The sequence below is a fragment of the Homo sapiens genome, chromosome 11, assembly GCF_000001405.40.
Source record: "Homo sapiens chromosome 11, GRCh38.p14 Primary Assembly".
NCBI classification, from domain to species: Eukaryota; Metazoa; Chordata; class Mammalia; order Primates; family Hominidae; genus Homo; species Homo sapiens.
Window position 1 is genome coordinate 89,689,909 of NC_000011.10, and position 19,302 is coordinate 89,709,210.

Consider the following 19,302-nt stretch of genomic DNA (forward strand, 5'->3'; position numbering starts at 1 on the left):
AATACAGAAAAGACATTTGGTGATTTAGAGTTGACATTAAGTTTCTGTAAGCCTTTCCTCATGGGCTGTTCTTCCCAGACGGAAAATCTTCAATCTCCTGTTTGTGAGGTAGGAAGTTAGGCAGAGTTATGTAGGAGGTGATAGTGAGGATAAATATTAATATTGTCTACATTTTACTACGAAAAAATTACAACAAAGAAAAGTCAAATGACCACCTAAAGTTTTTGGTAGTAAGTCCTGAAGCCTAGATTCAAACCCTGGCAGGGTAATTACAGAATCCCAGTCTCTTCAACACATCAGTACATAAAATGTCCTTTTATATTAATAATAAAAAATAAGCATCTTAAGATGATCAAAAGTGATAAACCAGCAATTCACAGTTTGAAAAGTCCTTCCTTCTACCTATACTTTTGGTTTTCCTGACACCTGTCTGGGCCTCCCTTCTCTCTCCTTAGCGAGATTTTGGATCCACTACTGCACCCCTCACCACTCAGACTCTCCAGCCTTCAGCACACTACTTGTCAGACAATCATTTACCCATGGAATTTTAGTGATTAAACAATTTAGTGTCTTCTCCTATATAATATTGTGTAATACTTATGTACTTGCCTTTAACAATTCATCTTCTTATTTTTATCCAAATGCAAGATGTCTTGTCTTTTTTTTCAGATTCTTAAAACATGAATCTAAGAATGCAATCTTCTGCATTCTTAGAGGCAAGCCAGTTTGGTCCCTTTCAAATAATTTTTAAATAATATTTGTTATATCATATACACATATTTTAATTGATACAAGCCTGGAGTGTGTTTACGTATCATAATATTACCCGTTTAGGATGTAGCTTATTGAGATGCTTAAGTACTTTCCTTGATCCATCACTGGCCAATCTTACTAATACTAATAGTAAATATGGTGCTAATCATTTTTTTGTAAGCTATCCTATAAGAGATATGTTTTGTTATTTTTTCTGTAGGAAACAAACAAATTCAGCGGCTATCCACTGTATCACAGTGTCTATGAAACATATGAGTTGGTGGAAAAGTTTTATGATCCAATGTTTAAATATCACCTCACTGTGGCCCAGGTTCGAGGAGGGATGGTGTTTGAGCTAGCCAATTCCATAGTGCTCCCTTTTGATTGTCGAGATTATGCTGTAGTTTTAAGAAAGTATGCTGACAAAATCTACAATATTTCTATGAAACATCCACAGGAAATGAAGACATACAGTTTATCATTTGGTATGTTACCCTTCCTTTTTCAAATTCCTCATCTGTATGGTTCTATTAATCTCCTAAATATAATGGACTATCTTAGGTCATTTATTATTTATTGCTATTTCAAGTGATCCAATATTCTGTTTATGTCTATAAATGTATTTTCCATTTTATGAATGCTCACATCTTATAATATAAAAATATAAATACCTTATAAAACACAAAAGATGATAGCTTCTGTATTGTTCCTTTTCTTGAACTATAGAGCAATGCCATTAGAAATTATGTTCTTTAAGCATTTGATGATCCCAATTTCTATTTCAGATTCACTTTTTTCTGCAGTAAAAAATTTTACAGAAATTGCTTCCAAGTTCAGCGAGAGACTCCAGGACTTTGACAAAAGCAAGTATGTTCTACATATATGTACATATGTGTATATGTGTGTGTGTGTATATATATATATATATATATATATATATATATATATATATATTTAAAAGTAAACTAACATCACTGTTGCTGAACTAGCTTTGGGAATTTCTTGCTGTTTTCTTTTTTTTAAATTTGTTTTACTTTAAGTTCCGGGATGCATGGGCAGAACGTGCAGGTTTGTTACATAGGTATACAAGTGTCGTTTCCTGCTGTTTTCTGTCTTTCCACTCTAGCACATCCTATGTAGGGCTGCCGTATCTCAAAAGACCTACTTTCAACATTCTGAGTGGCAATTGTGCTGCTCAGAAATGTCAGTCCCTCCCTCCTGCCATTTGATCAGTTACAAAATACTCTGCTTAACATTGAAGGTCCTCTACTGTGTGACCCCAGCTGTTTCCAGTTTTATTTCTTGCTTTTTCAGTATCTGTACATCATAACTCAGCCAGACTATTTATTTTTCAAAGCATGATTTCTTTCTACCTCTTTTGTTTTTGTCATTACCTCCACATAGAGCTCCTTATTTCCACTTCCATCTGGCAAAATTCTGTTTATCCAGAATAGCAAATATTGTGAAGCCATTAATTTTGGAAATGTTAAACATTTAGGATTAATTCTGTGTAAGATTACACAAGTACAACACAATTTGAACAAAATTTTAAGATGGAAGGAAAAATACTTGGTGAGAATACTAAGGTAATTTTTTTAAAGTATAATTTTGAGGGCACAGATCTGTGTATTAAATATAGTATCATGATATAAATATCAAATCCCCAGGAGCTGATGTAAGGACACATAAAAACATTACAGTAGATGATGTAGAAATAGGCTCAGTGATCTATAAGGAAGTATTAGTAATAAACGATACAGCAAAAATTAATGGGGAAAGATTACTCAACCATAATAATATATAAACTATGTTAGTACCTGCTATAAAAGTAAATTCAGAATCGCACTTCACATTGTATGCTAACATAAACAACAGGTGTAAAGAATTATTTAGTAAAAATGGAAATTTCTTGAAAGATGCCAAGTTTAGAAGCAATGGGGAAATGATGCAATCAGACTTGAGACCATTTGAAATGGTTCAGAATACGAAAATTAATATTCACAAGAAAAATTAAGAAAGTTGAAAACTTATTTTCTAGCAAAAATGGAGAGTAATATATACATTCTAAAAATATTTTTTGAAAATTAATTTAAACAGTCCAAAAGAACCAGCTGAAAATATTGGTAAGAAACAAGACAATATACACCTGTAAGGAAACATAGCAAAATATTGCAGTTCACTAATGCATAATTCAGAAATACAAATGAAAGTAATGTGATGTTATTTTTATAACACATTAATAACAATTTAAACCTTGGTTGTGCCCATGCTGTAGCTGGTACACTGAAGCATATGCTCTCCATGCTTTTCTGATAGCATTATGAATTATTTTAGCCTTTTTGAAAAAGATAGATACATATTGCTAATGTGTTCAAGAGCTGTCACAGAGTCCTGTGCTTTGACATAGTATTTCCATTTCTTGGATTATTTCTTAGGAAAAAGTCTCAATTTTGGAAAAGAAAGGCTGCCTGGAGAAAGACTTGAAGTATAAAATTATAATAGCAAGTAATTCAAAATAACCTAATGCCTAAGAGAAGAGAAATTACTAAAAAATTTGATATTCACCAATTTGAACATTTTATAATCCTTACAATGGATTATTAGAAATACAACATAATAGAAGATACTTAGAATAAAATATGTAGTAAGCAAGAAGGTTGTAAAATTGTAAATATAATTTGATTAATTTTTATTTAACAAATACAGGAAAAACTTAAAGGGAATTAATGAATTATTATAATAATTGTGCTATCCTCAGGGAATATTGGAAGAATTGTTTTCCTATTCTTTTCAATTCTTTATAATTTTTATATATGGGTAAAAAAGTCAACAATAAGAAATACATTTTAAGGAGATCCCAAACACCATGTATTCTATAAAACTGGTTTTCTTTTTGTATTTAAAAGAAAAAATGTTTTCTCCCTCTGACAAAATACCTCATGGTTTGAATTGTGGTTTGTTTAGGACACTTATTGTTTAGCACACTCAGCTTCCCCTTCCTTTAGTATTTCTATATTTCTTTTATTTTCTCTAAGTGATAGTAAAGATCCACTCTGTTCCCTATATGATATTTACAAATTCTGAAACACCTGAGTAGTGCTTTGCCCATAATAATAGTAAATTCTGACTAAGTAAATTAAACTGAATGTTGAATTTCTCAACCAAAACTTTGAAATCTAAGGAAGAGATATGTCTTTATCCTGCTTTTCTTGTATCACTTCTTGCCTCATCAAAGAATATAAGACGTTAACACAGGATACAGAGAAAGAGAAGTGCGTGTGTGTGTGTGTGTGCGCGCGCGCACACATTTACATGTGTGTAGCCACATGAGTTTTTGTACTTGTAGCAATGCTTTGTGAATTTGATTCCAAAACCCATAGCATCTTATTGAAATTATCCTTCATTCAATTGTCTCAACTGTTTATCGGAGTTGCTAACAGGTAGTCTGTGTTTCATTTACCTTTATAATATCACAGAATCTGAATTCATGATGCCAAATACATAAATGTTAAAAATAGCTCAAATCCAAATTATGGGAGTTTAAGTTGTTCCTATTTTCCTTTTGTTGGCAAGGTGCAGTCGAAAGAACAATATCAATCTCCTATTTCACTCTAAAACTTCCTAGTGTGAATTTAGGCAAGTTATTTAACTCATGATCCTTTGTTATCTCATCTACAAAATGAGGCTGTTACCCTACCCAACTTGCAGAATTGCTCTGAAAATTAAAAATCACATTTTGTATAAACATTCAGAACAGTAATTGGCATATAGGAAATGATCACTAAATGCTAACTTTTAGTAAAACCAAATTATGAAAAGCAAGAAGTAAATTAATGAATAAGATGATTCATGCTTTCTTATTGTAATGATTTTTCTCAGTTAATTAAATTGTGAAATAATTGGTATATTAAATTCAGTAACTCATTGTTGAAGTATTCAGAGCTTGCTGATAAACTTTCAATTATATTGAAACATTCTTATTATAATAACAACCCCAACACTCCTTTTAGAATGTAAGTTCTGTAAAAGCAGGGAGTGTTTGATAAATAGGAGGTATCCAAATATTGTTGAAAGACTTAAGTAATCACCATCTCTTGTGTTCATAATAGGTTTAGCTTTAAAAATAAAAGGAATATTGTTAGTTATCGCTTGGTAAATATTTATAATTTGCCAGGCATCTTACTAAACATTAGCAAGTCATCTTATTTTAATATTGATATTACTTCAGTGAGTAGATTGCTAGGATACCTAAGGTGAAGAAAATCTTGCCTATATTTGTATATCTGGGTTGATCAGTTAATTATGCCAATGTAAATAAAAATCACTGTTATTTTTTCCATTTGCACATACAACTGTTTCTGTGCTTTTATAAGCCTGAGCAGTATAGTATTTTATAAGATTTTAAAGATGTCATAGCTATGTATGTTATTGTTCTTAATTTGCATATTACAGAATGTTAAAATTTACAATTGACATTTGAACAACAGTGATTTGAACTGCACAGGTCCACTTACATATGAATTTTTTTCAATTAATACAGTGAGCCCTCTCTATCCATAGATTTCATATTAGCAAGCAAACGCAGATGGAAAATTCAGTATTATTCACTGTAATCCCAGGTACTCAGGAAGCTGAGGCAGAGGGATTGCTTGAGCTCAGGTGTTTGAGGCTATACTGAGCTATGATTAAGCCACTGCACTCCAGGCTGGGCAACAGAGCAAGAAAATCTCTTAAGAAAACAAAATAAAATACAGTATTGAAGGACTAAAACCCATATGTATGGAGGGCCGACTATTCTTGTTATTTTTAAATATGGAAAACTTTTTATTTTGCCAAATTAAATCTTTTATTTTCAAGCTTACATTTGAAAATATTAGCATTGCATGCAGAAAATGATTTCATTAAAAACATCTAAAAGTAGGATGGACATAAATCTAGAACAAAAGTATTTTAAGTGAGTAAATTCATTTATGTGGAAAACATCTCAACAAACATCTTTCTTTTAGCTTTGATATATTAGAACATTTATCACAGAATGATGCTCACTCTACAAGCTTGAATCTGAGAACCTCAGATGTAGCTAATGAGAAACTAATGAAAAATATAAAATAAGAGAATTATAGAAACTTAAAAAAAAAACCTGTTACATTCCATTTGGACTACTAGCCATGTGTTCCATAAACATTTTCTATTTTATATAATTGCCTATCTCATTGTCTTAACAATATGAAGACTAAGATGTGAAAGGGGGATTAAGCATGTGGTAAGAGTTATACTGGGGGCAGCTAACCCAAGGGAGATCAGATGTGGCTTCAGATGCCACATACACAGCTACATTTCCTCATTGAGGCAGACCAAGTTAATCCAGAAAGTCATATCAGGCTCCAAGAATGCTGTATTTTAACCATTCTGAAAATCACTTGAAATGATATAATTTTAGGTAACTTTTAGACTTAAATCTAGATCATTATACCGAGAGATCTATTTAATTTGTTTGGTAGTTTGTTCATTTTCACCCTGTTAATTCCACAGAGGACTCGTCATTTACATTAGGTATATCTCCTAATGCTATCCCTCCCCCCTCACCCCACCCCACGACAGGCCCCGGTGTGCGATGTTCCCCACCCTGTGTCCAAGTGTTCTCATTGTTCAGTTCCCACCTATGAGTGAGATAACGGGTGCAGCACACCAACATGGCACATGTATATATATGTAACAAACCTGCACGTTGTGCACATGTACCCTCGAACTTAAAGTATAACAATAAAAAAAAATTCCACAGAGGAGGAGGGCCGACTTTTCATATACATGCGTCCTCCTTGCAGGACTTGAGTATGCACAAATTTTGGTGTAGAGGGTGGTCCTGGAACCAATCCCCGGAGATAACTAAATTCAGTTTTGTTCTGACATTTTTATTTTCTGGGTAGAAACATTTTCATGAAGTTATAATTGTATTCATTTTCTTTCTCAGCCCAATATTGTTAAGAATGATGAATGATCAACTCATGTTTCTGGAAAGAGCATTTATTGATCCATTAGGGTTACCAGACAGACCTTTTTATAGGTAAGAAAAGGAAATATGACTCCCTTCTGTAATATCACTTTTTCTGCTAATTATTTTTATTTTTTTCACTGTGGAAAAAATATTGAAGTTGACTTCTTGCAAGCAAATAGAAAATTTCAAAATATATGTAGTAAGTGATAGTTGTATTGTTTCTTCATATAATGTAATATGATTTTTGCATATCTTTATTTTGAATATCTTTGTTCTGATTATAAAAGAATATAAATTTATTTTAGAAAATATAGAAGATCCAGAAAGCCACGACAGAAAATAAAAATCTCCCCAATTTTATCAGAAAAATATAAAATCATTGTTATATTCTTGTGTGTATAATTTTAGCTCCTTTTCTATCTTAAATATATTTTTACTTATGTATACACACAACCCAAACATCTCTCTATATATAATGTATATAATAAATATATATTTATTTATTCTTTTCCCTAATGTTGATATTTAGATATTTTATTTCCTCCTAAATCCTGACAGTTGGATTTTTTCTGTCAAACATTGACTGTCCCGAGGTTGATCTTCTAAATATTGCAGAATGTGACAGATCACTGGACAGCCAGAAATGGCCCTAACTTTCTTTCTAGGGATTATCAAAGGGTTGGGCTTGGGAGTAAGAACATCTTCCAAATAGGTTGACTCGATCAGATCACCAATGGCGGCATATTTTTATCCATCCCCCACCCCCTTTTTTTTTCTAAGAGATAGGGTCCTATTCTGTCTCCCAGGCTGGAGTTCAGTTGTGCAATTGTAGCTCACTGCAGCCTCAGACTTTTGGGCTCAACCAATCTTCCTGCGGCAGCCTCCCAAGAAGCTAGGACTACAGTCACATGCCACCATGCCCAGCTAATATTTGTATTTTCGTTTGTAGCAACAGGGTGTCCCTATGTTGCCCAGGCTCGTCTAGAACTCCTGGCCTCAAGCAATCCTCCCACTTTGGCCTCCCTAATATATGGGATTACAGGCATGAGCTACTGCTTCTGGCCTTATTTACATCTTTACTTTGGAGTTTGTCTTTCTCTTCTGTGGGCTATTACATGAACTGTCTTAGCCCATTCTATAAAACATTTTCTGCCTTGGTCACGTGGAACATTACGAAATTGTTTTTGATGATTCTTCAAACTCTATATTAAGTATTCTAACATGGTAGTGTGACTTTTTAAAAAAAGACAAAAAAATACAATAGAGGGTTTACTGATCACAAACAAGACTGTAACGATCATAATTGTGCTGTAATGTAGGGGGTAGCATGATATACTAAAAAATCAGCAGTTACTTGTCATGTGCCTTGAGACAAATCATTTAGTTACTTTATCTTTCAGACCTCAGTTTCTTCCTCTGTGAAATACTAATATCAACTGTGTAGAGTTTATTTCTAAACATCAGAAAAATTGTAAGTAAACACTAAATACCAAGAATGATTGCTGTGGTTACTATCATCATTGTTAGTTTTGTAGTACTGAACCACTTTAATTTATTTGTTTGAAATAAAATATAATTAATTACTATAGATTTCATATAATAGTCTTCAGAGATGATTGAACTTGGAAGTTCAGTTGACAAGTGGCTTGTTCAAATTGTTATAGGAATATGCAATCCAGGAATTGCAGAGTGCTCTGGTTTCTCTTGTATATCATTTGGGCACCTAATAAACAGCAAACGATTTTATCAACAGGCATGTCATCTATGCTCCAAGCAGCCACAACAAGTATGCAGGGGAGTCATTCCCAGGAATTTATGATGCTCTGTTTGATATTGAAAGCAAAGTGGACCCTTCCAAGGCCTGGGGAGATGTGAAGAGACAGATTTCTGTTGCAGCCTTCACAGTGCAGGCAGCTGCAGAGACTTTGAGTGAAGTAGCCTAAGAGGATTCTTTAGAGACTCTGTATTGAATTTGTGTGGTATGTCACTCAAAGAATAATAATGGGTATATTGATAAATTTTAAAATTGGTATATTTGAAATAAAGTTGAATATTATATATAGTTATGTGAGTGTTTATATATGTGTGTGTTTATATTGTTTATCTTCTCCCTATGGATTAAAAATAAATTTCATAATTATAAGAGGTTATTCTGAAGTGGAAACATTTAACTCAGTATTAAATCTAAGGAGAATGGCCTAATATAGTAAAACTCTCATCTGGCATTATCAGCGAATCAAGTCTAATCTATTCATGTCACTTCACACAGAAGAAAACATCAGTATGTCAGAGAGCACACTGGGGAATATGCACAAGATTATCCCAAGCCAGAGGCCTCATGGCCTGCCTGGCCACCCTGGGCTGAGAGGATCACTATCTCAGCACACTATTTGGGAAATGGATCAAATGACACTTTTAGTAAATGTTATCACTCTATAGCATAAGAAATAATTAATTTCTTTTTATTTATATAAAAGGCTATCGTATAACTTATATGTATAGTAATTAAATGAACATTTGTGAACCTAATAGCCATATGAAGAAAATAACATTTCTAATATCTTTGGATGCCCCATGTACTAATGACAGTTACGCTTTTGCATTTTCTTGAATTTTATGTTTATTTATCTTTCCTCTGTCATTATTTATAATTTTATCACACATGGCTGTATCCTTTACATGTTTTGGCATTATGTATTTTTGAATTTTTATAAAGACAATCATACCATGTGTAATTTTCAGGGACTTGATTTTTTTCATTGACTTTTAAGGGTTCAAATATATTATCACTGTGGATGTAGTTTGCCATATTTTGCTGATATAGAGCATTCATTCACATGAGGGTAGGATTCAGGGTCCATCAAGACAGAGAAAACATACAGTAATGTGAATAGGGAAAGTTAATATAAAGAATTATTAATTGTTACAGCATTGGAACAATGAAATATTGTCTAGTAATATGTAAAGAGAAGTCTCAAGAATATGTGATGAGCAGATATAAGGAATTGCTCGTCTCCATGGTGAATTTGGAGCAGCCAATGAAGAGTCCCCTCACATTGTGGCCTCGCTCAATGTTAAGAAGTCGCTGTAGTGTTACCCTTGGAGAATCTGCTTCAAATTGACACTTCAGAACTCCCCAGAAACTTGTCTTCTGGGCCACTGTGTAAAGCTGTTTATGAAGAAATGTCAAGCCAGAGGGGCTCTACTACAAATTTGGCAAAGGACAGTTTCAGGAGAAGCTCTTGGCCGCTGGGTTCTCCTGGCCACCATGAACTTCAGGAAGTGGGTGCCATAGCAGCAGCCTGAACTACAGAATCTGGGCACTGGTGTAGCTCTGTATGCCCTCCGTGTCAGATGCTGGAGATGTCATTTGCATTGCCAGAGTTTGCCAAGGGTGCACACAGAAAGCAGATTGAAAAGCACCTTCTTGAAACATCTCTCCAATGCCTTCTACTCACAAAGTTTAACATCATTAACACGTGACAAAGAAGATCTATTTAATGGGCCCAGATCTATTTATGTAGACAATCAAGTGGGAGTTTGGAGTGGATAACCCAAATTTGGATAACTGGTGAATAATAAAATGTATTTATTCATTTTCTGCTGGTGTATATTTGGAATGTTTTCTATATTTTGCTTCTGTGAACATGTATCCTAATGCAAATATTCAAGAGATTCTCCTTCCAGACAGTATCTACCTATAGGTTGAATGTCTGTGTTGTAAAGTTTGTGCATCTTCAATTTTACAATGCCAAGCTGTTTCAAAGTGATTTTATTTATTTGTATTCCCACTGGCAAAGTAATCATGTTATTCAAGATAAAAAACAAGTACAGAAGATTGTGGCATGTTAAAGAAATACAAAGAACTCAGTGTTTCTAGAATCCAAGGGATTTGTGGGAAGAACAATCCATACATTGAGCACGAAATACATCACATAGGGCGTAGAAGACATCCAGAGGAGTGTAAGTACTTTCCTGTAGTTTATCAAAAACCCGTAATAAGGTTAAGCAGGATAGGGATACGAGCATATTTGCATTTCAGAAAGCATTCTGGCCTAGATGGATTAGAAGGGCATCAATAAGGCCTCAGAAATTTGTGCAATTGAGATCTCAACCAGAAAACTATGACTCTTCCATAAAGATACAATTCCATGGAGAGCCCAAGAAGCCCCTCATGAATGGATTCCAAAAGTATCATCAAGATTCATGATTGAGTAGGAAGCTGCAACAGGTGCCATTGAGTAAGACCATGACAGAGATTGGCAGATACCATCAGTATATTCTGCAGAGCCTTAAGGAACATAAGAGCCAGGCTGAGGAGTTGCTGAAATACTGCAAGATAGACCTGAATCTCTGGCTCAATTGTCTGTCTCAAAAAAATTATGCTGCATAGACAGTCAACTTCTAATTAGCACAAGAACACGAGCATCACAGGAGGCCCAAACACCAGGTTTGATAGAAAGATCTGCCATCCCATCAGAATGGAGTCTGAAAGAAGAATTTGAAGAGGAGCAGAGGCTGCTGGCTCCAGGAACAAATTCATTAGAAACCATTTGGGTCAAGTATAATTACTCATAGGGATTAGGAAAACAAGAAGGAAGATGGAAAGAGGATGAAAGTAGTAACTACTCCGACTCTAGCAGTGGGAGTGAAGATGAAGATGGCTAGTCTGAGGGCAGCAGCTCTAGCTCAGCTTCCTCAGGGTACTTCTGACTCAGGCTCAACCTGAGCCTGGTTAATACCCTAAAAGGTTGGACAGTCCTTCCAAGCCAAAAGTCCATCTGTGTTATCTATGTCAAAGGGAGGGGACCCTCCTCCTGCTCCTTTTTACTTCCTTGACTTTTCCCTTCCCTCCTTTCTCCCCCTCCTCCTCTGTACAAAGTGGGACAGGTTATAAACAAGGAACTTGATGCAGTGCACTACTCTCTATATTAGGTTCATAAACCCAGGAAGTGGGGACCAACCATAGAGAACAAATATTAGTATTAGCCAGTATTGCCTCCCCACCCATATACACAACTAGCCAGAGAGAGAGAGTTCATGGAATTGAGGTTTTTGGAATAAACAATGAGATGATTGGGCTATGGGGTATTAGACTGAGTATTCCAGAAGTAACAAGTTTTTCTTTCCTTATTTTCTGCCAGCAAGAGGTGGTAGGGGGACACTGAGTCTGTAATCTCCACCTTCTTTGTGAAGTGTCCCTCAGGACTCCTGTGCTGAATGTAGAGTGAAGAGTAGCTGGTGGGAGTTAGGGCAGGTGCCTTAAGAACGTTGCCAGACTCCTGCCATCACTCTCCCCACTCCCTGAAGTAAGGACTTGGCCATTCCCATGCTTGAGTGTGGGCAGAATGATGTAGGGGGCAATATTTTTACATGTATATCTGATTCAGCTCCCAAAGAGACTTCTTACTGATTTCAAAAACATGAAATTAAACATGGAAATTTATCTATTTCACTTGAATAAACTTCTCCATAGAATCAATGTTTTGTGACTGGGCAGGGCACTGCTTCTCCAAGTGGTGTCTGTTGTATTTATTCTGCTGGGTGGAAGCTCCAGATTCTTCCTGCTGCCTCAGGTGCAAGTCCATCTCACTTTTATCATTCAGGAGATACAGAAATATACATGGATACCTAGAAAGATACAGGAGTAGATATGCACACTATACTGTTCTCCTGGTCCACCTGTGAATTCACCAGTACCACATAGCTTTAATTATTTTGGTTTACTGCTATCTTTTAAAGTCAGTTGAAGGCTACTGCCCTCTCATACTTTCCTCTGTTTTCATGTTCTCATTAACGTTTGCATCATAGAAGAAGTGGCATCCATTTTATATCCATTGATTTTAGTGTTTTTGTTCCTAGATTTCTTAGCAAATTATAAGTGATGTTCTAGGTAAACTGTACCAGAAAATAATGGCAATATTTATATTTTTAATACTTCAAATCCCTTTTTATTTATGTGTTCTTTTAGAAAATACAGAGCAATATTAAATAATAGCAGTTATATGTTTTTGTATTGCTTCTAATTTTTAAGCTAATTGTTACACCACTTACAACTGTAACAATTATGCTAATATTTGAAATCATAACATATTAATAAAATGCCGATTTGGATTAATCAGTTTTATTCCGTAATGTGTATTCATTTTTGTCAAATCTCTTTTATTATGTATCAATGTAAATTTTCCTTAAGGTATTTGTCAAAATTCTCCAGAGAAACAGCAGCAATAGGGGACTGTGTGTGTGTGTGTGTGTGTGTGAATGAGCATGTGTGTGTGTGAGCATGTGTATGTGTGAGAGAGAATGTGATTTTATAATGAGAAATTGGCTCTACAATCCTATCATCTCTAAACAAGAAGCTCTGGAAAAAGCTAATGGTGTAATTTAGTCTGAATCTGAAGGCCTGAAATCCAGGGCAGCTAATAATGTAAATCCTAGTGCAATGGCAAGAGATGGTATGACACGTCTTAGCTTACCAGTAAGGCAGGGAAAAATAAAAAGGTTGAATTCCTCTTTCCTCTGCCTTTTGCTCTATTGGATTCTTTCATGGGAGAACGGGAGACAAATGAAGACAGATAGAAGAAAGTTCTCTTGGCAGCAAATTATTTCATGTGCTCAGTAATGGTACTTAATACACAAAAAGTAAGGAAACTGGACAATTTGCACATATTTTGGAGGTAAAAGCAAGATAATTTCCTGAAATGGAAAGTAAAAGTACAAGAGAAATCCAGATCATTCCTAGTTATTTTGACATTTAGAAAAAGGTAAGCAGGTTTTGTCAGGGAAGTTGGGAGTTCTAATTTTTGAAATGCCCATTACCTATCCCAGTGCATATAAGAATCTGGAGCCCAAATATTAGTTTACTACTCCATGGCCGAGCGCAGGGGCTCACGCCTGTAATCCTGGCACTTTGGGAGGCCGAGGTGGGCAGATCACCAGGTCAGGAGATCGAGACCATCTTGGCTAACGTGGTGAAATCCCGTCTCTACTAAAAATACAAAAAATTAGCCAGGCTTGGTGGCGGGCGCCTGTAGTCCCAGCTACTCAGGAGGCTGAGGCAGGAGAATGGCGTGAACCCGGGAGGCGGAGCTTGCAGTGAGCGGAGCTTGTGCCACTGCACTCTAGCCTGGGCGACAGAGCGAGACTCTGTCTCAAAACAAAACAAAACAAAAAAATAGTTTACTACTCCATAATATATATTACATTTGTTTGGTTCTGTTAAAAAACCAAAGTGACAACCATTAATTTAAAGATCCTAATTGGCTTTATCTGTGATTCCAGAAGTTGGCAACACTGTATTTCATAAAATAGAGTAAGTATTCTTATAAGCTGAGAAAAGCTTGGTTTTATATACAGAGCTGAAGAAAGCAAAAACAATGAACGGAAAACTGGCTGATCATCTCAAAGTTAAAGTTATGTTCCTTGTAAGGCAGGGACAGGGAGAAAGAGTACAGAAAAATAACTGATTGGTTAATATCAGAATACTTCAGGTTACTTTTTGGGGTAAACATTAAAACAGAGAGAACCCCAATATCATGCCGACTGAAACTACCCTATTTGGGAATTTACATAATCTCTATCTTCTGATTTCTATTAATAGGACAGTCAGAAATCAACCCAACAACCAACACTTAGTTTTGGTTTGGTGATGTAGAACTTCAGTATGGGAAACTTCATTTTGGTTTTTAGCCTGCTCTGTTGGGGCCTAGCACAGGAGCTTGGTCCAAAACAAGGGCCCCTATAATTTTTACTGAACAGTTTAGAATCTAGAACAATGCCTTGCACTCACATTTAGTGAGTAAATATTGAATAGATGAATACATCAGTGAAGCATAACTTTGGGTAACATTATCAGATATTAATTAAAGCATCACACCATATGACACTAATTTTGAGCATAATCAAGGAGGGAAAGGTAGCAAAACTGAGCACTTGGACAGTCTAATAGTTGGATATGAAACAGAGAAGAAGGAGACTTCCAAAAAGTCTGCTAAAGGGTGTTCTCTGAGGTAGGCTGGAAGTCAGATGAATATAAATTTTGTCTGAGAATCTAATAAAAATGAGTGTTTTCAGAATATGAAGTTATAAGAATAAAATGAAATCAAGAAGAAATAAGTAACCAATAGTATTATTGAAAAGAGAGTGATTAAAAGGAGGTTAGAGATAGGGTATTGTACGTAACAACGTTGAAGTGGATGGTGACTTAAACAATTAAATGGAGTAGACATGATGGAAGGCTGTAGAGTTGGTTGTAGAAGGAAAGGTAAGAAAATGTAAGGGTCAATTTAGAAATATTTTATCAAAGGGGCTATTTCATGAAATGTTTTCAGTAAAAGTGAATTTTTAACGGCTGCTCGTTTTAAATAATATAATCCACAGACATTTATAAGAGTCTATTTAAAGTTCCAGGCACTGATTCAGACATACATAAATTGATCACTATCTGTGTGATGGAATCATTCGTACCCCAAACCTCAGCATCACACAATATACCCATGTAAAGAACGTGCACATTTACTCCCTGAATCTGAAATAAAAGTTGAAATTATAAAATATAAAAGTTAAAAAAAGAACAAATCATAGATACATAAAATCATGATGAATCTCAAAAACATATTAAATGACACAAAGGATTATATATTGAATGATTACATGTGTAATATTTATTAAAAGTCAAAACGCTATAGACAGGTCAGGTGGGGTGCCTCACACCTGTAATCCCAGCAGTTTGGGAGGCCAAGGCAAGAGGATCACTTAAGCCCAAGAGTGTGAGACCAGCTTGGGAAACAGAGTGCCTGTCTCTACAAGAAATTAAAAACTAGCTGGGTGTGGTGGTGTTTGCTTGAAGTACAAACTATGCAGAAAGATGAGGGAAAACTGCTTGCGCCCAGGAGGTTGAGGCTACAGTGAGCTGTGATAGTGCCACTGCATGCCAGCATGGGCAACAAAGCAAGACTCTTCTTTAGAAAGCAACAACAAAAATAGCAACAACAAAAACAAAAATCTTACAGACAAGAAACAGAGCAGCAGTTCCTTGAAGACAGGGATGTGAGTAGAGATTGACTATAAAAGGGGAGAAGAGTGCCACAATAAACATATGTGTGCACCATTGAATACTATGCAGCCATAAAAAAGGATGAGTTCATGTCCTTTGTAGGGACATGGATGAAGCTGGAAACCATCATTCTGAGCAAACTATCGCAAGGACAGAAAACCAAACACTACATGTTCTCACTCATAGGTGGGAAGTGAACAATGAGAACACTTGGTCACAGGGTGGGGAGCATCACACACCAGGGCCTGTCCTGGGGTAGGGGGAGTGGGGAGGGATAGCATTAGGAGATATACCTAATGTAAATGACGAGTTAACGGGTGCAGCACACCAACATGGCACATGTATACATATGTAACAAACCTGCATGTTGTGCACATGTACCCTAGAACTTAAGTATAAAAAAAAAAGCAGGGGGAGAAGAGATGTTTTTGAAAGAATTAAAGTGTTCTAAAAGTGGATATGGTGATCATGCATAAAATGAATTTAACAGCAATTTATTAACGTCTTTAAACTCTATACATTAAGTAAATTTTATGGTATGTAAATTATACCTCAGTTAAGCTGATGAAATTAAGAGTCTCCACAAGCTTTTGTTGATGTGGGTTTTTTAATGTCAAGATATGCTGTATTAGAAATTAAAGCTGAAAAACAAATATCTATTTATTAATAATTTAACAATTATAAAACAATAACTGGTAATGTAATATTTCTATAAAAATAAGTATACTTTCCAAAACCATAAAAATAAATAAAAGAGTGGCTTTGATTACATATTTACAAATCACTTTAATGTCTGGCTTAGTAGAAGTCATCTGGATTCTCACATCTGCTTCTCTATTCAATCTTTTGTGATATTTCATGTCATGTAGCCCCTGGGAAAATCTCCTGTATACTCATGGGATAATAAAATTTCAAAGGGCAATTAATGTCTAAATAGTATTATTATTATAAAAATAGTTTTGACTTTATGAACCCTAAAAATAATCACAGCCACACATTGTGAACCTCTGTAGTAAGGGCCCATTTCCTGATCACCTACTGGTTGTAAGGTTGGGGTAAGGAAAGGAACTGTCTAAAACTAGGGCTGCCTGGGACCCTGCACATTGGGTCTATATCTTGTTCCTTGAGCTCCTAGACCCTGAAAAGCAAGAGTCCTGCACAGTAGCCTTCCCACGGTGCTGTGGTTGTATGGGCAAAAGGGGATGCATTTCCTACCATTCTTAAGAAGCTACAGTGGCAGGTTTACATCCTGGACTTCTATTTTCGTGCTTTCCAAATAGATTTTTTTAAATTGTCCATCCTTGTACAACATAAACATATCATCTTTTATGAACATTGGGCTAAATCAGAGGTTCACAAAGTATGGTTCAGGGACCAGCAGCAATCTCTTATAAGTTGCCTAACACTCAAAGTCTCTGGCCCCACCCCAGACCTACTGAATGAAGAGTAGCCATGGGTAATCCCCAGCAATCTGTGGCCTCAGAAGCTTTTCAGGTGATACTGATGCACCAGCTAGGCTAACTCATTAGCCTCGCTGTTAATCTGAGAACGATCCCTTCTCAGAGAGCAAACAAAGCACAGCTGGTAATGAAGACTTTAGCCCTCTCCCGTCTCCTCCTCTTCCTGGATCTGGACAGTGCGGGCAGCTACAAAGCATCAGTTCTGTGTGGTGGGGCAGGCAGGATAAGACAAAGTAGGTTCCTTGAGGAGAAGCACCAACTGTAAGGTGAGAAAAGTGAGCTTCATGAACTAGGCTACCTGACTTCTGGTTACTGTTTGCTTTTCTTTCTCCGTAGTTTTTACGGAGCCTTTAATAAAGCCTTTAACCAAAGGTCCAGTCGCATCTCTTTCCTATGTTTCAGAATAAATTGAAGCTGAGTTCAGCAAGCATATTAATGTGGAAAAGCCCCATTTGTGGCCACCTTGATGGTGGCAGTGGTTATCCAGAAATCTTTTGAAGGAATAGAACTGGAATGAGAACCACTCTCTGCACCTGGAGACCCCCCTCCTGAGTGCCTTAACAGGTTCTGGACTTTTTATGTTAAAAAGTTTTGTTACTGTTAATTCAAAAGCCTATGGTTACTATACAGATACCTGTCTACTTTTATTCTCCCAATTCAACTGTGCACATGTATTTTTGCTACTTGTAAAAAACTTTCAAAATGAAAAATAACATAAAAATAAATTACATTAAATTATTTTAATACATGATACATAACTAGTCTTTGTCACTATTATGTTAATATTCGTTAACATAGTTGGTATAAATTATTTTAAATGTTGTGTTTCAGTGGGAGAAACATTAAGAAAATTAAACAAAATATCATCAGATTCACTGCAGAGGGTGCTTTTATGTGTATTGAGAAAGGCAGAGACTGGAAGAAAGAGATCTGGTGTGAAATCACTTTCAGTTTAATATAGTGCTTGGGGAAAATGCATGGTGAGCAAAGCTTCTAGGAATTAAAAGATGTTTTAAAATGTATTTTTTCTTCTTCAGCGTTTAAGTTCAGGAGTACATGTGCAGGATGTGCAGGTTTGTTACATAGGTAAACGTGTGCCATGGTGGTTTGCTGCACAGATCATCCCATCACCGAGGCATTAAGCCCAGCATTTATTAGCTATTCTTCCTGATGCTTTCCCTCCTTCCAACCCCTACCCTTGACAGACCCCAGTGTGTGTTGTCCCCCACCATGTATTCATGTGTTTTCATCACTCAGCTTCCACTTATAAGTGAGAACATGTGGTGTTTGGTCTTCTGTATCCTGCAGTTTGCTGAGGATAATGGCTTTCAACTCCACCCATGTCCCTGTGAAGGACATTGTCTCGTTCCTTTTCATGGCTGCATAGTATTCCATGGTGTATATGTACCACATTTTCTTGACCTGGTCTATCATTGATGGATATTTCAGTTGATTTCATGTGTTTGCTGCCATTTTTCTCTTCCGGCCAGTACCACAAGAAGGGAAAATTTCTCTTGATTCTTCCTGGTTTTCCCTGTGAGAGCCTCTTGGCATTTCTGTTGGAAAAGTCTCCCTTTGGGTGAGGATTCTTCTATGTCTGTGACCCTAAGGGTCTTTGCACACTCACTCTAGCCCAGCTTTGATTTTTAGCAGTAAATTAAAATCATTTGGTTTATTTTCTGTTTTTATGGCCTTTGGTAGAATCTGCCCCAGATAAACATATGCATGGGTCCTGTTTTTCTCAGTGCTGTACCTGTCTCTATCCAGAACTGATTGAGTTGTCTTGTTACCTCTGTTCTCTAATGGTTTACAAAGCAAACAAACAAACTAAACCTCATTAATCTTTAGTTTCTCTCGGACTTTTTTTCTTGCAGGGAGGTGGCAATAGTATTTTCAACCTTCTCCATTTCTGAGCTGCAACCATAAGACTCTACTAGGTTTTATGATATCCCTGAACGTTCTAAAAATGTCCTAATCGGCTGTTACTTTTTTCAAACCAGGTACAAATCAATGATACTATAATTACATCATAGTTAGAT

General features: G+C 35.9%; 2 pseudogenes across 1 annotated transcript in view; both read left to right on the plus strand.

The window, feature by feature from the left end:
- The window catches only part of FOLH1B (folate hydrolase 1B (pseudogene)), a 39,451-nt pseudogene extending 30,641 nt beyond the window's left edge, over positions 1-8,810 (plus strand). The window contains exons 11-14 of the transcript NR_175944.1: positions 974-1,238; positions 1,539-1,620; positions 6,725-6,817; positions 8,502-8,810. The product of NR_175944.1 is annotated as a folate hydrolase 1B (pseudogene) (transcript). The remainder of the gene's footprint in view (positions 1-973; positions 1,239-1,538; positions 1,621-6,724; positions 6,818-8,501) is intronic.
- On the plus strand, positions 10,856-11,417 carry UBTFL10 (UBTF like 10 (pseudogene); annotated as a pseudogene).